At 37.2% G+C, this 25,410-nt stretch overlaps 1 protein-coding gene across 1 annotated transcript in view; it reads left to right on the top strand.

Annotated features, from left to right (window-relative positions):
- The window catches only part of HEMK2 (HemK methyltransferase 2, ETF1 glutamine and histone H4 lysine), a 309,770-nt gene extending 285,276 nt beyond the window's left edge, over positions 1-24,494 (top strand). The window contains exon 9 of the transcript XR_007067787.1: positions 22,712-24,494. The gene's annotated coding sequence lies outside the window, so the exon portion shown is untranslated. The remainder of the gene's footprint in view (positions 1-22,711) is intronic.
- Positions 24,495-25,410: the final 916 nt, after the last annotated feature.

The following is a 25,410-nucleotide window of genomic DNA, read 5'->3' as shown; positions in this document are numbered from 1 at the left end:
AGATCCACCTGCAGCTTGCACTGTGCACCTGGAAAAGTCACAGACACTCAATGTCAGTCTGTGAAAGCAGCTGGGGAGAAGCTGTACACTGCAAAGCCACAGTGGTGGAGCTGCCCAAGATCATGGGAACCCACCTCTTGTATCAGCATGACCTAGATGTGAGACACGGAGTCAAAGGAGATACTTTTGGAGCTTTAACATTTGACTGCTTTGCTAGATTTTGGATTTCACTGTCTCTGTAGCCCCTTTGTTTTGGCCAATTTCTTTCATTTGGAATGGGTGTATTTATCCAATGCCTGTACCCCCATTGTATCTAGGAAGTAACTAACTTGCTTTTAATTTTACCGGCTCATAGGTGGAAGGGGTGTGCCTTGTCTCACATCAGACTTTGGGCTGTGGACTTTTGAGTTAATGCTGAAATTAGTTAAGACTTTGGTGGACTGTTGGGAAGACATGATTGGTTTTGAAATGTAAGGACTTGAGATTTGGGAGGGGCTATGGGCAGAATGAAATGGTTTGGCTCTGAGTCCCCACCCAAATGTCATTTTGAGTTGTAGCTCCCATTATTCCCATGAGTTGTGGGAGGGACCTGGTGGGAGATAATTGAATCATGGAGGTGATTTTCCCCATACTATTCTCATGGTAGTGATTAAGTCTCACAAGATCTGATGGTTTTATGAGAGGAAATCCCTTTCACTTGGTTCTCATTCTCTCTCTTGTCTGCCTCCATGTAAGACATGCCTTTTGCCTTCGCCATGATTGTGAGGCCTCCCCAGCCATATGGAACTGTGAATCCATTAAACTTCTTTTTCTTAATAAATTACACAGTCTCAAGGATGTCTTTATCAGCAGCATGAAAACGGACTAATACAACACTACTTCACCATCAAGAACGTTGATATTCATTTATTTCACTGTTTTCCTCTATTTGCTTGCATGTGCATTACCCTGGACCACATTAGCATCATAGCTTCTGAATCCTCTCAACTATATTTGCTTTTACCTTCACTGTCAATCAGTTTACTAGCTCCATAGTGCAGACTAAACTTTAGGATTCTTTGCAACTTTACCCATCATTTCTGAAGTGCTGTACTCCAACATCATGTCCTCACTACCTTCAATCCTTTACTGCCACTATTCTTCTTTCTGACCTTATCAGTAACTACAGGGACTACTCTTCTTTCATCCAGCTGTTCCATCTTGACTTCATGTTAATGCTTACTCAGGCTGGATTCTGTGGCATTTTTTTCTGTAACTCTGTCTTCAGTGTCTGCAACTCTTTTCACTTACTGTCCTGCGATTGAGAAAAACTTTCAGTCAACCTCTACTCACTGTTTTTGACTTGGAGTTGGGGAATGGGTAATTCTATAGAATTCCCAGGAATCCCTAGGATCACCCTCAGGCTCAATAATTTACTAGAAGGACTTGCGGACTTGCAGGATTCAGAAAACTCACTAACTCATGGCTGTGGTTTCTTACAGTAAAAGGATACACATTAAAATAAGCTAAGAGAAAAGGTGCATGAGGCAAAATCCTGGAGAAACCAGGCATCAGCTTGCAGGTGTCCTTCACAGGGGAGTTGCATGGTTGTGCTTAATTCTTCCAAGGATGTGTGGCAACATATGTGATGTGTTGCCAACCAGATAAGCTCATTTGAATCATGGTATCGAGGGTTATTTTTGGAGATTTATCACAAAGACATGCAATGACTGTCTGACTGACCTCAGCTGCTCCTACTCCAGCACCTCAAAGCAAAACATGTCATTCATATGCAACCTTAGAAAAATCATTCACGGTAGATCATATTGTCACCATAAACGTTATGATCAAACTAGTGCTGCATGGCCCAAGGCCTCAGGCATACAAAGGACTCTTATCAGGCAGAAACTTTCAAAGGCTCAGAGCTCGTCTTCCAGGGCCAATCCTGAAGACAGGATTTTCTTGGAAGTGTTCAGTTTGAGCAACCCAGGCCTGTTGAGTGAACACTTTTGTGCACACCTGTGAGTTAGCATTCATCTCATACATGATCCTGATCTTTTTTAGGCTCCTCAGTTCCAAGTCTTCTTTCTTTTCCCTTCCTCAGTGTAACTTTTCAGCTTTCACTTCTCTGTTTAAGTTCATGCTTCTTTTGTTGCTCCTATCCCAATGGCAAAAATGACGATTTCTGTTCAAGTTTCTTCCATCCTTAACATCAAATTATCTTTATCTGAACTCATACTTCCTTCTTGTCTCTAGGAAATATCTATACTTATTTCTACATAGGATTTGCAATTTCACCTTTAAAAAAACCTCATCCCATCTCCCTTCTCTTAGAAACTTCTAAAATTCATCTCTTATGACTGTTTCCCATCAGCCTAAAATCCTTATCAGGTCTCTCATCCTAAAAGTACTTCTCTTCTTTCTGATAAGTGTCCTTGGTGCATGACTGGCAAATGTCCTTTTGATTCCTTGTCTCAAATGTCTTTCTCATCAGGATTTTCTTCTCCATTTCCAAACTGGTACTGCCTAGTTAATGATGTATTCCATATAGCATCATGACAGAAACCTAACTGGGTCCAGTGTCTGCTGTTTCTCAAGTCTTCCCTCAAAACTACCAGAAAAAGAATTTGATCACTTCCCTGAATCACTTAAAAATTCTATTAATTACTCCTTGTCTACTGAATACAGTAGAAAGTATTTAGCATGATTTATAAGACTTTCTACAATGGTGCTCACTCACCTTCCAGTGTTGTCTCTTTTCTTGTTCTCACCCACCTCTCTCCTTAACAGATGCCTGACAGTTCCAAGAGTAAGCTATGGGCTGGCTTGTTCAGGCAATTCCCTGTGTCTAAAATGTCATTCTTTTTATTTTTCACCTGTTGATGTGCTATTTATCCTTCAAGACTTAGCTCAAATATTAAATTTTCTGTGGTGCTTTTGCCAGACTTTTTCATTTACATTCTTGTTCCCTTTTGCCTATCATATCTTATTGTGTTGAAGTAATTAATATATTTAGCATGTCTGTTTCTTTCATCAGAGCAGAATGCTCTGGTCATTGATTTCCCAAAGTGACTGAAAGAGTAGGAATCAAAATAGGCTAGTTTAATAGAGGGCTGGGATCTGAATTAAAAAAAGCTAAGAAAATTCTTTCTAAATTATGTATCTTTAAAAAATAATGTGTATATTTGTGGCACTTAATTCTAATTATGTATTATTACTGAAAGCTATGGGACCTATTAACTTCCAGGAGTATTTTCCCATTTTCGGTATGGAGCACACTGTCCATCGAGACACTTCTTTTAAAATTCCCAGTAATATATAATGATTTCTTGAAATATCTTGAATTAAAATTAGCGTATCTTCCATCTGCCAAGACTGAATTTAAATTATCTTTTACAGACTCTAGCTATGGTTACTAGATTAAGCAAAACACAAAATTCCATTGGTAATTCCATTTGTAGTTTTCTCAAAAGAAAAATAAATCAAGATTTGCTTGAGTTGCAGCAAATTATGATAATGTGAATATTCTGAATTAAACCTTCTCTGACTTGGTAATTACTGGGAGCTCTTTCACTGTATATCCTGGATTATAGAATTATTCATATGTAACAATACATATCATAGTCAGATTCAGGGAGAGATTTATTACATCACTTATAATTTAGAACAAAATGTAGGGATTTAGTGTATGTGTTATTTGTTGTAATACTGAGAAGATCAGAAAATTTATGAGAAAGATTTGCCTAATTTAGGCTAAGAAGATTTTGAAAAAAATATAATAATAAGAACTGTTTGGGTTGGGCGCGGTGGCTTACACCTGTAATCCCAGCACTTTGGGAGGCTGAGGTGGGGTGGATCACAAGGTCAGGAGATTGAGACCATCCTGGCTAACACCATGAAACCCTGTCTCTACTAAAAATACAAAAAAATTAGCCAGGTGTGGTGGCGGGCGCCTGTAGTCCCAGCTACTCGGGAGGCTGAGGCAGAGCTTGCAGTGAGCTGAGATCGCACCACTGCACTCCAGCCTGGGCAACAGAGTGAGACTCTATCTCAAAAAAAATAAAATATTGGGAGGCCAAGGCGGGCAGATCATGAGGTCAGGAGATCGAGACCACCTTGGCTAACATGGTGAAACCCCGTCTCTACTAAAAATACAAAAAATTAGCTGGGCCTGGTGGCAGGTGCCTGTAGTCCCAGCTACTTGGGAGGCTGAGGCAGGAGAATGGCATGAACCTGCGAGGCAGAGCTTGCAGTGAGCCAAGATCGCGCCACTGCACTCCAGCCTGGGTGACAGAGCGAAACTCTGTCTCAAAAATAAATAAATAAATAAATAAATAAAGTAAAATAAAATAAGAACTGTTTGGAGGTTTCTCAAAAAACTAAAAATAGAGTTGCCATACAATGTAGCAATCCCACTGCTGGGTATATGCCCAAAAGAAAGGAAATCAACATATCGAAGAGATATGTGCACTCCCATATTTCTTGCAGCTCTGTTTACGATAGCCAAAATTTGGAAGCAACCTGTGTTCATCAACAGATGAATGGTTAAAAAAATGTAGTATTTATTCACAATGGAGTACTATTTAGCTATAAAAAATGAGATTCAGTCATTTGCAACAACATGGATGAAACTGGAGGTCATTATGTTAAGCTAAATAAGCCAGGCACAGAAAGACAACCATCACATGTTCTCATTTATTTGTGGGACCTAAAAATCACACAATTGAACCCATGAAGATAGAGAGTGGAAGGATAGTTATCAGAGGCTGGGAAGGGTTGTGGTAGGGGGAGGTGGCTAGGGGGATGTGGGGGCGGTTAATGGGTACAAAACTAGAACGAATGAATAAGCCCTAGTATTTGATAGCACAACAGGGTGACTATAGTCAATAATAATGTAGTTGTACATTTTAAAATAACTAGAAGAATATAATTGAATTGTTTGTAACACAAAGGATAAACGTTGGAGGATACAGATACCCCATCTTCCATGATGCGATTATTATGCATTGCATGCCTGTATCAAAACATCTCATGTATCTTATAAATATATACACCTACTGTACCCACAAAAATTTAAAATTGAAAAAATAATAACTGCTATAGCTTTTAAAAATATATTGTGTATAATATAATGGAAATAATTGATCATTCCAACTTCATATTCTGCTTCGGTGCCAATAAATACTTGTTAAAGCCTGGAATCAAACAGTAGGAAAGTGATCTAACAATTTCAACTATTGTGAACGATGCAGCAATATGGTTTAATAGCCCTGGTAAATGCTGAATGGCTCTTTGCTATACAGGACAACAAACTTCATTCTAGCACAAATTGAGAGTTTAGGTTTAGTATTCAATGACACAAAAACAACTAAGTGCTGTCTACAAAGGAAAAAGAGATTTAGATTTAAAAATTTGATGTTTATTATCACTTAAAATTAATCATCTTTGGGAGAAAATTAGTTTTGAAATTATAATGAAAGTTACAACTACCCCCTACTGTTGGGGAAGTAGATAATAGCTAGTCAAATAGGAATTTCATATATAAAAAAGGCAGTATTGCCTAGGTTTAAGAGCATGCACCCTGCAGTCAGACTGCTTTTATAAAAATTAATTTTTTATTTTAAATAGTTTAAGTGTACAGAAACATTGTGAAGATAGTACACATAATTTCCATATAACATGCACTCAGTTTCCCTTATTGTTAATCTCCTACATTAGTTTGGTACATTTGTCACAATTAATGAACTAATATGAGTACATTATTATTAATTAAATTCCACATTTTATTTTGATTCCGTTAGTCTTTCCCTGTTATCCTTTCTCTATCTCTGAATTTCATACATGATATCACGTTAAGTTTTGTCCTCATGTCTGCTCAGTCTTCTCTTGGCTAGGATAGTTTCTTAGAGTTTTCTTACTTTTTATTACCTTGACAGTTTTGAGTACTGATCAGATATTTTGTAAAATGTCCCTCAATTTGGGTTTATATTATGTTTTTCTCACAATTAAACAGAGGTTTTGGGTATTTGAGAGCAAGATCACAGAGGTAAAATGCCATTCTCATCACATCATGTCAGGGTAAATGCTATCAATGTCACTTATCGCTGTTGATGTTAACCTTGATCAGGTAGCTGAAGTAGTGTTTGTCAAATTTTGCTGTTGAAAGTTGCTCTACCCCAGCTCTTTTCCAAACTGTCTTTTTTGGAAGGAAGTCACTATGAATGATGCTCTACCTCGATGAGGGTAGAGTACATAAAATATTTGGAATTCTTCTGCAAGAGAGATTTGTCTATTCTCTTCATTTATTTACTTATGTAGCCATTTATTTACATCTAAATGGACTCATGAATATTTATTTTATACTTGGGTTATAACCCAATACTACTGTTTTTTATTTTGCACAAACTGTTCCAGCTTTGGCCATTGGGAGCTTTTTCGCTTAGCTCCTGTGTTTCTTTGACATACATTCATTATCATGAATTTTTTTGAGTACTTCCTTACTTAGTGGCACTACAAAGTGCTCCAGGATCATCTTGTATATTTTGACCCTAGCCCTGGAATCAGCCATTTCTCTGAAGAGTGATGTTTGTTTGTATTGAAGAACAGTATTAGAAACCAAGACCTGGGATCTGGGTCTACTCATTGCTCATGTGATGTTGTTACTTCTTTCAACTATCAGAGCAAGAAAATATAGGTGTACATACTAATCCACGTATACAGGTTGAGTATCTTATCTGAAGTGCTTGGGACCAGAAATGTTTGAGATTTCAGATTTTTTGGTTTTAGAATATTTGCATGCACATAATGAGATACCTTGGAGATGAGATCCAAGTCTAAACCTAAAATTTATTTATGTTTATATGCACCTTATACAAATAGCCTGAAAGTAATTTAATATAATGTATGTATTTTTTTTGAGACAAAGTCTTGCTCTGTCACCTAGGCTGGAGTGCAATGGCACAAATCTTGGCTCACTGCAACCTCCACCTCCCGGGTTCAAGCAATTCTCCTGTCTCAGCCTCCTAAGTAGCTGGGATTATAAGCATGTGCCACTACACCTGGCTAATATAATATTTTTAATAATTTTTTTACATGAAACAAAGTTTGTTTACATGGAATCATCAGAAAGCAAAGGTGCCACTATGTCCACCTTTGTGGATAATCTGTGGTTGTTTGGCATCACCATAATTCCTGACTCTGAATTTAAATGCTACTGATCAATAATCATTTTCTTACACTTATTCATGTAAGTACTTAACAATAAAAAATACGACATGTCCTTTGTGCAGTAAAATCAAACCCAAGAATAGCTGGATCAGCTGTTAAACAACAGCAACAACAGCAGCAACAACAGTAAGCTTTCAGTCTCCTCCTCTGATGCCGTGTTTTGATTAAAAGCTTATTGTATGCTGTATTTTATATTTTTATGTGAGAAGAAACATCAGAAGCATTTGAAAGACCAGGAAATGAGTCCCCTAGGGATAAGAGGCATTCTGCTGGATGGCTTTTAAAAATGTTTCCTCCAGAGTCGTCTGCCTCCTTAAGAATGATTTTTGTCTTAGAAGCCTCTCTTTAATTTTATAAACTGACATGATTTCTTGTTCTGTTATAAATACATGCTGTTTTAGTCCTTCAATAAGCCCATCACACATTTTCACGTATTGTCTACAGGCAGTTTTTCTGCCGTGTTAATGACATCATCTTTATCATCACTCTCATCAAGATCATCTTGATTCAGAACCTTTTTGGCTCCATTGGTCAATGACTGCACAACTACTGCCTCACTATTGATGTGTAAAACCTCAACATCGCTGATCATGAGAGAAATGCAAATCAAAATTACAATGCAATAACATGTCACACCAGTAAGAATAGCTATTACTAAAAAGTCAAAAAATAACAGGTGCTGGTGAGGTTGTGGAGAAAAAGGAACATTTATACACTGTTGGTGGGAGTGTAAATTAGTTCAGCCTTTGTGGAAAACAGTGTGGCGATTCTTCAAAGACCTAAAAACAGAACTACCGTTCAACCCAGCGATCCTATTACTGGGTATATACCCACAAGAATATAATTGTTCTATCATAAAATTACATGCATGCGTATGTTCCTTGCAGCACTATTCACAATAGCAAAGACATAGAATCAACCTAAAAACCCATCAATAGTAGACTGGATAAAGAAAATGTGATACATACACACCATGCAACATTATGCAGCTGTAAACAAGAACGAGACAATTACCTTTGCAGGAACATGGATGGAGCTGGAGGTCATTAGCCTTAGAAAACGAACTCAGGAACAGAAAACCAAATACACCATGTCCTCATTTATAAGTAGGAGCTAGATGATGAGAACTCATGGGCAAATATAGGGGAACAACAGACACTGGAGCCTACCAGAGGGTGGAGGGTGGGAAAAGGGAGAGGATCAGAAAAAATAATTATTGGGTACTAGGCTTAGTACCTGGGTGATGAAAAAATCTGTACAACAAACTCCCATGATGTGAGTTTACCTGTATAAACAATCTGCACATGTACCCCGAACTTAAAATAAGAGTTAATAAAATCTTATTAGATACGCAGCTTGTTCAACTTACTGATGGACTCTGAAAATATATTATTTGCATATGTAAGGACGTCATGCATCATTTTTTTTTCTCACTTGACGTGCAAAATTCTTCAAAGTCACCACCTTGTTCATCATTATCACTGAACATACTCACAGGCCAGAAGTTGTGCCAGGCATGCAACAACTGTGTCTGTAGTCACTGTGTTCCAAGGATTGGCAACAGCATATATATGGCATTTTTCATGCTAACTTTCTCTTGAAAACCTTCCATACCCAAGTGTCTGTTCACTGCTGTTAGCCTGCTGCTCAAGAAAGTGTTTTTATATGTAATCTTTTTTATGTAATGTGATCTGGTCACATTGGCTGAATTAATGAAGTCATATTTGGGAAAAAGTACATGGTATAGACATTATTTTTTATGGGAATTTCAGCTGGAGGATCAGCCAAATAGTTGTGAAGGAATAACACATTCTTGCCATTTAGTCATTATCCATCCAGCTTCCCTGCAATCAGCAGGAGGTGCTGTAACAAAATGTTTGTGAAGCTAATCAGAAAAGATGTCATTGGTGATCCATGACTCCTTATTAGCATAATAATAGACCGGTAAGAAATTCACTCCTTGAAAACAGAGAGGATGCAAGCTTTTGTCTAAGCAGAGTTTACACTTATGCATGCCTGCTGCATTAGCACATCCCAGCACAGTTATTCTGTCCTTGGCATCCTTAATTCCTGGAGGGGCTGTCTCGTCAGCTGTAGCAAGTGTCTTTTTGGACCAATAACGCCCAAGCATTGATGTTTTATCAGCACTTGTTCTGGTGCCAGATTTTCATCAGTGATGACTTTGGCAAACTCATCAGTTAATAAATTTCCCTGCTGCTTCATAATTGGCAGATGCTTTATCACCACAAATCTTTAACAATTTAATGCTGTGTCTTTTCTTAAATTTCTGCAGCCAGCTTGTTGCATGTATTTTTAATTCCTTCCAAATTTCAGTTCACCATGATAGAACTTTGCTTGTTTCATGATCAGTATACCATTAAGTGGCATGTGTTCACTGCAGTGTTGATGGATCACTCTTTCAACACATGATCAAGATATTAATTTTTAGCTTTATTCAGTTTTTTTTTATTTTTCATTAATTTGTGTTCATTACTATCAGCATAGAACTTCAATGGTTCATCTTTCTGTTTCTTCAGTTTGTGTATGGTGGTCATTCCAACACCATGTTCTTCTGTAAGATGTTTCACGCTTACACTGGTGTCCAGTTTCTTCAACAGCTTGACTTTGTGTGCTACAGATAAACATAAATGCTTCCTCTTTTTCTTATCAATCTTACCCATAGTTGAATCTGCAGGCTTTGTTGACATTTCAACAATATCTTTATGCCAAAGAGCAAAGAATAAGCAAAAAACAAAAAGCCAAAAACAGAGAGTAACACAGATTAGTCTTAGCTCCATGTGGGGCATCATGGGGAACCTGTTATTGGCACGTCCAGCCTCCATACATGCCATTTTATTACCTTTTGTGGGCGTGTTTGCATGGGGAAATCTGGAAATGTGTGGGAAAGATATATCGCAGCTGAAGGAAGCTGGGAGAGTCTTCTTCCTTTGAGGATGCTGAATAAAAGAAAACTGTGTGTTATGCACCTGAGTTTTGACTGCAATCCATCTCATGAGGTCAGGTGTGAAATTTTTTCACTTGTGACATCATGTTCTCCAAAATTTTTAGATTTTGGAACATTCTGGATTTTGAATTTTTGAATTAGTAATGATCAACCTATACATACATATCTAAAAATATTTCTATATGTATCCATTTTTATATCAAAGCAAAGCATGGGTTCATATTGATTTTTCCAACTCAAATCTAGTATACCACATGGATCATTCTAGTTTTCCTCTTTTGTTTGTCTGTAACCTCCTGGGCCAAAACTGAGAAACTTGGCTCCCACTGTCCACTGTCCTTTACTTAATTATTTAATTTCAGCCTACATGCATAATGCTTTCAGAATTGTTAACCCCTATGCCCATAGCAAACGAGTTTATCAATAGAGTACATTGCCCATGTGAAGTTCCTTTGCCTGTCTTACAGTCTCCACTCATTTCCAAAGTTACTTTGTGTAATACCTTTCTCCCCCAACCCCCTCAGCGAGGTTGTTTTATATATTTATAATATAGTTATATGATTTTGTAACATCTTGGAATCCCTTGATCTCCTAGATGGTTTTTTTAAAAAACTGCATATGTTGAAATCCATTCTGTGCTATACAGTTCTATGAGTTTTGATAAATACATATTGTCATGTATACCTCAATACAGAATAATACAAAATAGTTTCACTTCCCTAAAAAATTGCCTGTACTTTGCCAATTAAACCCTCCTCTCTCCTCAACAGCCTGATAACCACTGATCTGTTTATCAACTATAATGTTTTGCCTTTTTTATAAGTTTACATAAATGAAATTATATAGTATGTAATCTTTTCAGACTGGTGTTTTTTCACTTAGGGATAGTAATTTGAGATGATTTTGTATGGCTCAATAACTCTTTTTTTTTTTTTTTTGAGACAGTGTCTCTCTCTGTTGCCCAGGCTGGAGTGCAGTGGCGTGATATCTGCTCACTGCAAGCTCTGCCTCCTGGGTTCATGCCATTCTCCTGCCTTAGCCTCCTGAGTAGCTGGGACTACAGGTGCCCACCACAACGCCCGGCTAATTTTTTGTATTTTTAGTAGAGACAGGGTTTCAGCGTGTTAGCCAGGATGGTCTCGATCTCCTGACCTTGTGATCCGACCTCGTGATCCGACCTCCTCGGCCTCCCAAAGTGCTGGGATTATAGGCATGAGCCACCGCACCCGGATCCTTTTAGCTCTTTTCTTCTGTCTCACCCATGGCTTCTATTGCATTATTACATCTATGTTGCTCTTTCTTTGTATGTTTTTCAACTTTTGTACCTTTCATCAATCGACTGACTTTCTTCTTTTGTTTCTGGTTTGAATTCTCCACCCCAACAATCTGATCGGGTAAATTGCTTATCGTCATCTCTGATTGGGCAGGACTTCTGTTAAATCCTGGTCACCGACTGAGTGGGATGACAAACTTTGAAATTTTCAGCCCTTAGCTGTCCTGGATCAATCAGGTGGGTTGGGTCACAGAAAAGATGTGTAGCTGTTATGGAATAAACCATCAATATGTAAGGAACTGCCTAAAGTTGCTCCTGGGGCAGAGCCTGTAGTGTGAGGGTGACAGTTTCCACTAAATGAAGTAATGGGTAGAGCAAGAAGCTTGATAGGCCTTTTTGGTGCCCCAAATCAGCTTTCTTACAACACTTTTTTTTCACTTTGCCTAAATATTACTTCAAGAATGTGGAGAGTCTCTTTTTACAATGTGTGAATTTTATTTGCCACATAATTTATGTCTACCTTTAAAAGATCTAAGAAGTTGTCTTTTGAAATCTATGAATGTTTAGCTATTCAAGAGCTTATATTAGTTTCAGACGCTCACTGGGGAAGAAGAGAGAACACCCCTGCATTTAATAGTCCTGATCTTTCTGCCAACTGCAGCTGGGGTTGGCATACAAGTTGTCTTGCAACATCATACTTTTCCTTGTCTTTTGACCAAAATGCTCTCTGCATATATCTGCATGTGGAGAATACCAAAGTATGCTATTTTAATCTCTGCAAACAAATGAGTCACCTCTAGGGGACTATGATGGTCAATAAAACTTGATCATTTATTTATCTATTTGGGCTTAGAAGAGTTTCTGAACATTCAGTTTGCATTTTGAATTTCTGGAATCTTCATTATATAGTAAGTGAAGAGATGACAGACTGTAGATCAATTTTTTAAATTAAAAAAATCCAACTCCACTGGCATTTGTAGATAGTTGAAAATGTCATTTAGCGGGATAACAGTAAATTATTAAGAAATGGGGCTGAACACACCCATTAGTAACCACAATTGGAAACTTGTGGAAAGGAAGAACAAATAACCTATGCCAGAAGGAAAAGGTGGCTTACCCATGTAGTAAATTAGTTTTTTAGGTTGCCTACTACTGAGTGTCTTAGAAATTTGTCACAGTAATTTCACATACTTTCTGTATCACCAGGAGTGAGTAGATCAATGAACTAATCTATTTGTTTAAAAACCAACCAATTAATCTATTATATTTATAATTTACCATATAAATATATCACAACTATTATAAGGATTAGAGTAAGATAATAAAAAATCAATTTAATACAACCCACAACCCAGGTTAGGTGACTGAATCTTCCAAGGGAAACATCAAGCTTGGTAAAAATTGGCATGAGTAGTTTAGAGCAAGCATTGTGGGATCATAGAGCCTGGGTTTGAAGTGTTTTTTTTTTTTTTGTTTATTTCCTTGTCTGATATGCCTACTCCATTTCCCATGTGTTACTATAAAATAGGATAGCTTGCAATTTTTAGATTGCTAATTTATCTTTTATGGCTAAACTGTCTCTTACTGGGTTTTCTTGAATTTAGTTTTTTGTAATCATAAATATTTTATTTTTACACAAAATATACAGATGCTGCTATGGTCTGAATGTTTGCACCCTCTCACGTTTCATACGTTGAAATCCTAATCCCAAGGTATTAGAAAGTAGAACCTTTTGGGAGGTGATTAGGTCATAAGGGCAGAGCCCTCATGGGTGGGGTTAATGCCCTTATAAAAGAGGCCCAAGGGAGTTCATTCATTACCCCCCTGTGAGAAGACACAATGTTATGAACCAGAAAGTGGGCTCTCACCAGGCATGGACTCTACCAGAGTCTGTGTCTTGGACTGTCCAGTGTTAAGAACTGTAAACAAGAAATTTCTGTTATTTATACTCTACTCAGTGTCAAAAATAAAATCAGATACAATTGAAAGTTTTAAAAGTTTATTGTGGATACAAAAGAACAGTTTGCAAACCAGGAATCCTTAGATGAAAGTGATAAGAGGAAACTCAGAGGCATGGCGTTATAGGATGGCTTATAAAATGCAAATGAGGTAGTTGTTTAGCATTTGCAGTGATTCGTTGTTACCATGGGGGTTTTGAGATGGCAGAGGATTGGTAGCAAGCAATCATCTTATACTATCTTTGGAAGACAGCTGAAGCTTTATTTATGATTATCAGAGGTATTTGCAAGAAATAACCTAAGTTATTTTGCTGTTCTCATTTTGCTTTATTTTAACACCAGTTTAAGATATTGTGGTAGCAGCCTGAAAAGACAGATATGGATTCCTCTTCAATCTTTTTATGGTGGTATAAGACTTTTTCTTTGAAAACTGTGATAGAAAATTTTAGCCTTTTTATTCACAAACATATGCATAATGTTTAGCTCCACTAATTTAAGTTTTTTTAAGTTAATTTTTAATGCATAATCCTGGTTTAGAAATTCAAACATCGCAAAGATGCTTATTGCAAATGCACCATTTCTCTATCCCACCACTTTCTTGCTCCCAGATCTTTCCCAGGGGCAACATTTAAATCTATCTTTCTCCTAGCATTTGTGTATCACTAGTGTTATAAATAATATGTGCATCCTGCCATCTTATAATTCATGAATCTTAGGGAATATCTACTTACTGGATATTATTGTGGTGGAGGATTAAACTATCTGTGCCTTATGATTTCTTCCTTCCTTTCAATATGGTTATATTATAATTTGTTTTATTCAAGATTTATTGGACTTCTTTATCTGAGGATTTATGTCTTTCAATAATCTGGTAAAATTTTTAGCCGTTATCTTTTTTAATGTTTCCCCTTCCCTATTCTCCCTATAATTTACTTCTAGAGCTCAGAATAGACAAATATTGGGCTTTCTTACTCTTTCCTCCATGTCTGTTAACCTTTCTCTCATATTGTCCATACACTCTTTTTCAGATATGTCATCCAACTCACTAATTTCTAACTTTGTGTAATCTGCTGCTTTATATTTCCACTGAGTTTGAAATTTTAGTTTTATAATTTTATTTCTAGAAATTCTTTATTTTAAAAAGTCTGCCTTGTCATTTTTTGTAGTTTTGTTTTGATCTTTCTCTGATTTCCTTACACATGTTAACATAGGTACTCTATGTTCTTTATCTGATAATTCCAATACCTGGAGCCTTTATGGGTCTGGTTTGGTGTTTCAGCTGATTTTCACTGAAGGTGATACATTTATTGGATTACTTCTGATATTTATTTATTTATTTATTTATTTATTTATTTATTTAGACAGAGTCTTGCTCTGTCACCCAGGCTGGAGTGCAATGGCACAATCTAGGCTCACTGCAACCTCCACCTCCCAGGTTCAAGCGATTCTCCTGCCTCAGCCTCCTGAGTAGCTGGGATTACAGGCATGCACCACCATGCTCAGCTAAGTTTTGTGTTTTTAGTAGAGATGGGATTTCACCATGTTGGACAGGCTGGTCTTGAACTCCTGACCTCAGGTGATCCACCTGCCTTAGCCTCCCCAAGTGCTGGCAGTTCTGATTTTTAAGAAAGTTGTGAGCATATACTGGCAATCACCTCTAAGTCCTGTGAGGCTTGAGTAGAAGATATTTTTATCTAGAAAGGAATTGTCTTTGTTTCTGCCAAGTATTCATGGGTGCTATCCATATCCACTTTTAACTAAAATTCTCAGCTTTGGCTTTTTCTTTGGTACATAGTAGACATTTGTGTCATGGTAGATGACTTAGTTCTCTTGTTTTGGAGAGACAGATGATTTTCTTTGCTTCCTATCTCGGTTGTGCCCTTTTTCATCAATTTCACCCTCTCCGTTATAGTGCAGCTCTCTATCAGCCCCAGCTTTACATAGGGTTGTCTCCAATTTGCTTTCCTACTCCGCCCAAGTCCAAGGCTTAGTCCACAGTACCCTGCTCCCCTGGGCCCACTGATCACCATTCCACCAGGCCCTTTTGACATCCTGAGAGTGTGGGGAACTTTCCTTTCTGGAGTGGTGTTTTCACTTTAATGAGATGTGACCCCACTTACTTTCTTATATGCTTTTCTCCTAAATTAAAAGGTTTTGCTTTCCTGACATTTTTGAGATATATTTTAGAAAGACTTTGATCTAAGATATTATTATAAACAGAACTTCTTCAACTGGCTTTAGAGATAATGAATTAATTTAATTATTTATCTTCCTCAATTATACTCAGAAGCTATGAGCAGAACTATAACTGTCCTCAATGTACTAGTAAGTACTGATTCCATTATTACTGATTTGCTCTTGTAAATAAAATCTTTACAACTTAAATTCAAGTTCCTGACACCCTAATTTATTGATAATTCTTACAAAATAATCTTTGTGTTGAATGGCAGCTCCACCAAAATTAACTGTTGATAAGTCAAAGTTGAGTTTATTCTTACGAGGGTAAGAAAAGAACTCCCTTGAGAGAATTTTAATAGTATCCTAGATTGGAAAGGGCAAAATTGGAATATTTTTGAGACTGTGGAGTCTACTTTAAGGTGAGTTTTTCAGTACAGGTTAGGACTGGATAAGGGCTGTGATATATTTGTTTAGGACTGGTGTGCACTCTGAGGATTTTGGCATGTAGCTTTCAGAGACTCCTGTACATTTTCTTTTGATTCTTTCTATTGAAAATTTGAAGGACCTTTCAAGATGATCCTAGAATGAAAAATAAAGTGATTAGAAACTTTTATACTCCTGAAATAGTAAAGTTATATTAACAGAGAGTGAAAGAGTAAAGTCCTGTTAATGTGACTACTGAGCTGTATGGGTGTAGATGCTATGCTTTCTGTTCTTGAGCATAAAATAGCAGTTGTTTATGATAACAATGGGAAATCATTCACAGAACCATGCAATGCTGCACAATTTGGGCAAAATATGGCTGTGGTGCTAAACACACCTGTCTTAACAAGACTTCCAATTATGGTACAAAGATAGACATGTTCTCTGAAATCATTTAATAGAATTAAAATGATGAGACACTCTTGAGCACCATGATTTATGCAAAACCTGAAACGACGTGTTCAGGAAATGATTTTATTCAGATGTTCATTTTGATGACGTAGCCCTATTTCAAGGTCTATGTTCTTCTGTGATCCCCTTAATGACCTCAGACTTTCTCATTCAGTGGTGACCAGAGGGCAGGGAGGACTTTTCACAGGGTCTGCATGCTTTGGATAAAGAGAGGACAGAATTCTTGAAGGGGTTTCTGGCTTGGGTCTTGCCATTTTGCTCAATAATCTACAGCCATTGTGTGTCATTAAATTAAGACACCATCTATTGGAAGAAACTCCGTTATTTTATGTACTACTAACAAACACTTCCAATTGAATCATGTAGTAATGCTTTCTTTTCACCTAGAATTTTTATTTTATAATCATTAAAATATCTCTTTCATATTTAGAAATGTATTTTCATCTTACATAATTCTTTAGCTATGTAAAAAATAAAATAAATTGTTCAAAGTATTTTAAAAATGCTTTCACATTCAGATAGCAACTCTTCAGAAATAGCTTTTGACTCAGTCTCATTGATACTGTTTTTCCAATAATATCACTATGTCATCAACAGCATTGATAGTACCACATTTCTTTAGAATATTCCTCTATTGTCTCTGAAATTCTCTTTCAATGACACCCATTCTGTAAAACCCTGATGGTTGTACTGTCTTGATATTATCAACTAGTATAAAAGGTTTTCAGATAACAACCAGGATTCATATTTCTTCCTCAAGTAGTCCTTAGGTGGTTTGCTGGCTGATTTTTTATACCATCAGGGAAAAACACCAAATTTATTTATATGTAGACAATGGCAATGACATTGTGACAACAGCCTGGCTACTACTGTTTATAAGATATCAATAATTGTGTATCTTGGAGTCAATGAAATAAATTATTTTGTATGAAGAAAGCTACTGATTATAGTATTTCCTCTCAATCTTTCCTAATGTATTCTCTACTATGTACTCTTAATTTGATTTTCTTAGTCCTCTGGGAGGGCTTCCTTCTCACTTTAAATGTTTAGCTCTAAGACTGAGAGCCCTGGCAGACCCTCTGCAGAACTTTAGAGGGTGACTCCTCTGTCTTATAAAAGTCTCACCCTGAAGGCCATGATACACAATTTTCAGAATAATATGTTACTGGTAAAACATACTTGATTCCCCCCAGGTGGTTTAAGTGGAAGTTTCAATTCCAAGTGACAACATGACATCAAATCAAAGAACTGGCCTTGGAAAGCTTACCATCTGAGAAAAAAAATGATATTAATATATCCCTTCTGGATTAAATTATTTAGACCAGAGATGTCTATGAGTGTGAGCTGGACTACCGTCTGGTCCTGGAACAAAGCGAGACTAATAAATTCATTTAAAGTGTCAGCTTCAGTTTAAACTGTGTGAACTGAGTGGTCCCCAAACAGAAAACTGAATAGCTCAGTCCTTTGCTATTCCAGTTTCCATTACCCTCAGCAATAAACTAATCCCAACTGGTGAAATAACCACTTCAGTGTTTGTGGCTCCTTTTCAGTTAATTTGGATCACACTCTGCTGGTTATAATATAATAAGAAAAAGCATAAAAATTAGACTAATACAGTTTGCATTTTGTAAATACTGTCTCTAGTCTTTAGGAACATAGTGAAAGATTATATCTACATTGTCAGTCATAAGTGTTAGGGCATTTTAAACATTTTCCCCCCTTTTAAAATGTATCAGCCATTGCAAGCTTCACACTGCATTCCAGAATTTACTAAGATCATTGGATTCAATTTTCCTTTTTAATTTGGCTGGATAACAAAAGTTCAGGGCAATTCTCTAGGTGGCTTTAAACCAACCTAGTTTTTACCGCTTTCTTGCTTGTAGTTCTCAAGACTAACTAGAATGTGCTGGGAATGGGAATACAATACCCTGAGATAGAAAGCAGCTGCCTGGAACGATCTAGGCCTTTTCCCTGTCTCTCCTAGGGAATATCACATCTTGAGTTAGGGAGAAATTGCTCAGGAAGAACAGGCTTTGTTCCTCTTTCCTCTGGAAGCAGTATATTCCTTCAAAGCTTTAGTGCAGTGAGTGACATTGCCCTTGAGGTATGTAACCCAGGGTGGGCTGCGGTTAAGTTTCCCTCAGCTGTGGTGCAATTGTACCACGCTCAGTCCAGACTCCTTCTGCCCTGGGTACCTCAGCTGTGGTGCAATTGTACCACGCTCAGTCCAGACTCCTTCTGCCCTGGGTACCTCAGCTGTGGTGCAATTGTACCACGCTCAGTCCAGACTCCTTCTGCCCTGGGTACCTTTCTTGAGTCTCAGGGGACTTGCTAACAATGAATCCTAGGCTTCTTTTGTTCCTTGCTGCCTAGCTGTTTAAAAAAAAAAAAAAGCCATACTTTTGCACCAAACTGATAATGAATCCACTCCACATAACTCGTGTATGAATAAGTATGTTCTGTCTCACCAGATTCAGACAAGGTAGTAACCAGTGCACAGTGAAACTGCTTGACAAAAGGGCCTTCATTTTTGGTATTAAGGGACAAGATACTGACCCTTTACTGTTTTTCCAAAGTTAAAAAAAATAAGATTCGTGGGTACCAGAACAAAGGCCATTATTCACGTTGGCAATGGGGGTGTGGGTAAATTCATCATTATTAAACCCTTATTTGCTTAAATATGGATCCTGATCAAGGCCATACTAGGAACTGGGGATATAAGAGGCACAACCCATGATTTCCCAGGATTTTTTAGTACTTTACTTTCTAGTTGGGAAGGGAAACACCTATACAGAAAGCTGTGAATCACAACAGGAACAGGATATGCACACAGCAGAAAGGGCAGGGGAGACAATAAGTGTTTTAGCTATCCAGGTTGGGGAGGATAATTGTCGACTATTGGGTTGGAGGGAGTTTCATGGAGGAGGCTGAGTGTGTAGTGAATTTCAGTGATATTTTCTTTTCATTAATTTTGCAGGCAACAGGGCAGGCACTTTCACTGTGCATACTAAAGCTGTTGCTTTGTCTTCTTCGTCGTCTTTTTTTTTTTAAGTGCATTAAACTTTTCTCATTTTAGCCAAGCTAGTTGAACTTGGTAAAAATGGCTGAGATGGTGCACCAGAAGCCAGGGAATATTGTTTTGCTCAAATGGGTGGGGAGTGGGGTGGGATGCTAAACAGGATCCAGAGAGCCACTTGTTGGAGAGCTCTGCCCTGCCCGTGCTAGCCCTTCTCCCAGGCTGCATTCCTTTTCCAAACCATGTGACCTTGCAGGGCTCTGTAGAGAACTGCCCCTTGCCCAACTCTCTGGGCCCCGTCATGATGGGAACAGGCCAAGAGACTGTGAAGTGAGTACATTTCTAGGTTCTTTCTTTCATTTGTGCTGGAGGGGGAGAATGGCTTGCTTCTCTTAGAGGATCTTTGCCCACCTGCTGCCTACAGACACTGCTTCCCACCAGCTCAGTTACGTAAGAAGTGTACAAAGTGGTAGAAGCCGAGTCACCTATCAACTATATTCAGAAATTGATGGTGTTCACTTTTGACAAGAAAATCTCACTTTTTGCCTACTGTCAGATTTCTTAATGATCTCTTAGAGATTCAGAATTGTGATCTGACATCTGTTTGCACCAGAAAACTCACTGCCTCTCTTCTTTTATGCTTTGTCAGTCAAATTGATGCTTGAAATTTTTAGTCATGATGTAAGCTGCTTACACGATGAGGAGAACTTGGGAATTAAGCTTTTTCACAGAAAGTTCAGTCACCAGAGTGAGCAGTCAAACTTTGAATATATAGGAAAGCAAAACTGGGGCCCTTTGCATGCCCCAAGGGTAATATTTTTCAACATTGCTGAGCAAGGAATTGGATCCAGGCTAATGCTCTTGGTGTTAAATCAGACTAACAAATATGCACAATTTTGAATAGGTAAAAATTGCCACACTGCCTTGACATGGGTCATTCTTATTCCATTCTATTTGTATTATGATATGTTTACTTAGCTCTCTTAAATATATATTATTTAAATTTACAAATTAATAAAAACATTAAAAAATAGACATCTACATTTAAGTATACTTTTATTTTCTTTTTCTAAGACAGCTATTTTAAATCATGGTTTATTTAAAGCATGGTTGCTGAAGTATAACTTCCAGAAAGGTAAAATAATGACTCTCATGAAAATACAAACATGCATTAAAGGTCTTATTAAATTCCTTAATGAGGAAACTAATAAGAGGTTCAAACCTGTTCAAAGAAGAATTTGAAGAATATACAATTATATATCTTAAATACATATGCACGTGTATATATAAACACATACACACAAGAATGCTGAAATAAATTTGCTACTGTATGATTCAAAATTGGTTAATAGTCTATAAGGCAATAAAATATAATGTAATGACATATGTTTAGGGTCATCTACAGTGTGGAAATGAATATTTCTACCAACAGAATTCATTTGCATTGATATGGTCAAAAATCACTTGCATTACCATCCATTTTCTACAACTCGATTTCTACCCCTACCGAGTTCACAAATAGCCTAATTGTTACAAATACAATCAAAAGTACGTTATTCAATAGAATCTGATAACCTCTGGAGTCCATAACTCCACCAAAAGAACATTTTTTTCCCATTTCCAACTCTTAGACAATTTTCCTGACATTACATTTAATTCCATATCTGAATTTGGGGAGAGGTAAATCTGTTTTTTAGGTGCCATTCTGGAAGCAAGTGTGAGCCGTTGCACATACTTACAAATTTATTAGTTATGTGGCTAAAATTAAGTCCCAATATTACGTGTGCTGCCTTGACATCTAGTAAAACTGGGAGGGCCTTGAATGGCTTAGCCACAAATTTCCCTCCTCACTTTCCTCCCATGGATAAGGTCCCCTATCAAACAACCCTTTTTATCAAGGAAACCAGGGACAGTTTCTGCTTATCCCTGAGTAGAAGATTTCAGTTCCCTGCCAGTCCGTATGATAATTCAAATGAGCCAATGTGATCCTCCCATGGGATCCAGGGGGACACCTCAACCTCTTTAAACTACTAAACCTGCCTCCCACACCTCCTGATTGTTCACTCTGTTCCCCAGTGAAACCCCGCTGTGGCCCTGTGTGGTTCATCTGTTTCCACTGGTCTGTGATTATATGCAACTAACAAGTACTGTCAATATCGTCTGTCCTGTTTCAGGTGTTGGATGTTCAACCATCCCCATCACCTGAGGGTGGAAATCCTTCCTTCACCAGAAGGGTGAATAGGAGGTGATTACAACCTTGTTATGGAGAGCTGAATCAGAGCAGAGCAGGAGAAGGGAAAATTATCTTTCTATCTGAGGGCAAAAAGATTTAGGTTCAGCAGAAAGGGGTAGTGAGATTTATGTTATTGGCTGAAAGCATGCTTTAGATAGAAAAAAATTTATATGTAAATATTGGAAACAAAGGGCGGAGTTAAGCTTTTCCAGGAGCCTGAAAGATTTTTCAAAATGGCTGGAGTGTATGCAGAGTGCAAAACAGTGATTGTTTAGAGATAGGATATAGCAATGACAGCTGAGTTTAGGAGTTTAGACTTGATCTTAAATTAATGGAAACAATGGAAGGGGTGTGATACAATCAGATTTGTTTTGAAAAAATTGTTTTAGCTTTAACAGAGAGTAAAGGTTGTTTTGACTGGAGTTTGGGAGCCAATTAAAAGATCATTAAAACAATCGATATAAATGTGGTGTCTTCTTCAAAAGTAAGGGTACTAGAAATAGAAATAAATGGACTGACTTGGGTAATATTGAGGAAGTAGGATTTAGAGGGTTTAATGATGAATTGGATGTGGGTAGGGGTGTCAGATTTATCAAATAAAACTACATGATGTACAGTTACATTTGAATTTCAGATAAATCACTTTTTTAAAAAATATAAGGTCAATATTTAGGATAGATACTAAAAATTATTTATTGCTTAGCTGAAATTCAAATGTAGCTGGGAAACCTGCATTTTATCTGGCAACCCTAGATATGTTGTTAAGTAAAGTAAATTGTTGAGGATGGGTCTTGGGTTTTGGAAATAAAAAGTTGTTAGGTGGGCAAAACAAGGGTGTTTCATTTCCCAGAATATCAATGCTTATTGCAAATCTATTAATTTCTTATGGATAAAGAAAACTTATATCAAAATACATCTTCCTGAAGGTAATTTTATGTTTTTGTCTTTTTCATGAAACATGGTATATTTTGAAATTTCTTTATTTCAGGGAGAAAAGAATGGGAACTGTGAGGAAAAGAATGACATGAACAATGGGAAGACCAAGGTCCCAGCACAAGTAGTAGATGCTGAGGAAAGAAGAAGTATGTTGTGGAGTAAGTGAGTGGGCCTGAGTTGAGAAGATCCTGGCCTTGGATTTTAAAACTGTCAGGTGACTATGGTTGTGCTGGTCTCTGCTTTTCATTATGGATATATGTGAGCTTTATTTTCTATTAAGGTAAGTGGCTCCAGTCAACACTGTGCCAGGGTTTCTTAATTTTCAAAGGTGAACAAATGAGATTCTGGACATTAAATCTCAACATCTTAAGGTAATGGTTCACAGAAATTAATTTGGGAGGAATCATAGACCAAAAAGCTAGGGCTGGGCGCAGTGGCTCACGCCTGTAATCCCAGCACTTTGGGAAGCTGAGGCGGGTGGATCACTTGAGGTCAGGAGTTCGAGACCAGCCTGGCTAACATGGTGAAACCCTATCTTTACTAAAAATATGAAAATTAGCCAGGTATGGTGGCAGGCGCCTCCCATCCCAGCTACTCGAGAGGTGGAGACAGGGGAATTGCTTGAACCCGGGAGGTGGAGGTTGCAGTGAACCGAGATTGCACCATTGTACTCCAGCCTGGGTGACACGAGTGGGACTCCATCTCAAAAAACAAAACAAAACAAACCCAGAAAGGTAAAAGCTAAACCTACAGAGCTTCTGGGAAAAAACATTAGAGTGCATCTTCATAATCATGGCACAAAGATTTCTTAAATGGGATTAATAAAGAGAAACCATAAAAAATTATAAATTGAATTTTATAAAAATGAAAATTCTATTTATGAAAGACATCATTAAGAAAATGGGGATAAGACATATAGAGAAATATATTAAAAATACATATATCTGGCAAATAACTTGTGTTGATATTTTAAAAATTCCAAATCTCAATAATAAAAGACAAACCTAATTTAAAATAGGGAAAAAAACTGAAAGAGATACTTCACAAGAGAAATTTATGAATGGCCAATAAACTCATGGAAAGGTAGTCAATATCATTAATATTCAAGGAAATGTATTTTCCTGAAGACTGCAATGAGATAGCACTTAACCCCAAGAAAGGCTGAAATTAAAAGGGCTGACAGTACTGTTGACAGAGTCATGGAGCAACTGGAACTCATATATGCTGGTTGGGGAATAAAATGGTACAAACACTTGGGGCAATAGTTTGGCAGTTTCTTATAACATTAAACATATATTTACAATATGACCCAGAGATTCTTTTCCTACGTACTTATATTAGAGCAATGAAAACATATACTCATAAAAAATTTATCCAAGAATGCTCATTACAATTTTGTTCATGATAACCCCAAACAGAAAAAAATCCAAATATCAATCAACTGGTGAATAATTAAACAATGTGTGGTGTGATCATACAAAGGGTACCACTCAATGATAAAAGGAACAAGCTGCCTATATGTGGAACAACATGGATGCATTTCAGAAACTTTATGTTGAGTGAAAGAATAAACACGGAGAACATACTATGTGGTTCTCTTTATGTAACATTACAGAAATAAAAACAGAGGCAACCACCTTTGAGGCAGTATGGAGTGAGATAGACTGGAAAAAGGAAGGAAGGAAACTCTACGTTGATGGAAATGTCTGTGTCTTCATTGGGTGGTAGTTATGTGGGGATATACATTTGTCAAAATTTATTGAACTATATACTAAAGAACTCTGCATTTTATTGGATGTAAATAATACCTCAATTAAAAAGACAAAAAAAATCCACAGTGATTGTGATGGTTAATTTTACGTATCAACTTGACTGGGCCACAGGATGCCCAGATAGCTGGTCAAGCAGTATTTCTGGTGTACCTGTAAAAGTCTTTTTGAAACTGAGTAGTATTTGAATTGGTAGACTGGGTAAAAGCAGAGTGAAACAGAGCCATCTGCCTTACTCAGTCCACCACTGGCATCAACCAACTGGTCAAGGGCCTAAATGGAACAAAGAAGAGGAAGAAGGTTAAATTCACTCTCCACCTGACTGCTTGAACTGGGCCATTGGTTTTCTCCTGCTCTCTGCTCAACTCTTAGGCCTTCAGATTACACCACTGGCTTTTGTGGGTCTCCAGCTTGTTGAATGCAGATCATGGTGGTTCTCTGCCTTCATAATCATGTGAGCCCATACCTTATAATACCTTATAATAAATCTCATTATATCTATTGATACCTATTTTGTACTCTGGCTTCACCTAATCTTATCCAGGTTTCTTAAGCTCAGTGCTCTATGACCATGTGGATAAAAATATACATGTAAAAGTGCTTGGTAGAAGCCCAAGTGTTAAGTAAGTACTCAGTAAATATCAGTTATTTTCTCTTTCTCTTTGTGTTACTGTCCTGAATAATGACTAGTTAACTAGCTTGAAGAATTTGTCCAGATCAAAGAACACAGGGTTGATATCAGGCACATAGAATCAACCCAATAATAACTAAAAAAAGAGAGTCTTAAAAGAAAATTAAAATTTTTTTAATGAGCTTTGTGCTTAAAATTTATGTTGCATCATTTTCAAATATTTTTTCTGGTTAATTACTGGATTTTAAATTAATTAAAATCTTTTAAAAGATCTACTCAAAAGTATTTCTTCTACAAGAACTACTTTAAGCAACATTTTTTCCCTTAGGATATTCTTCCCAAGAATAAATC

Source organism: Homo sapiens, chromosome 21 (assembly GCF_000001405.40).
Source record: "Homo sapiens chromosome 21, GRCh38.p14 Primary Assembly".
Classification (NCBI taxonomy): Eukaryota; Metazoa; Chordata; class Mammalia; order Primates; family Hominidae; genus Homo; species Homo sapiens.
The sequence above is the reverse complement of the archived record's forward strand: the minus strand, read 5'-3'. Positions and strand labels throughout refer to the sequence as shown.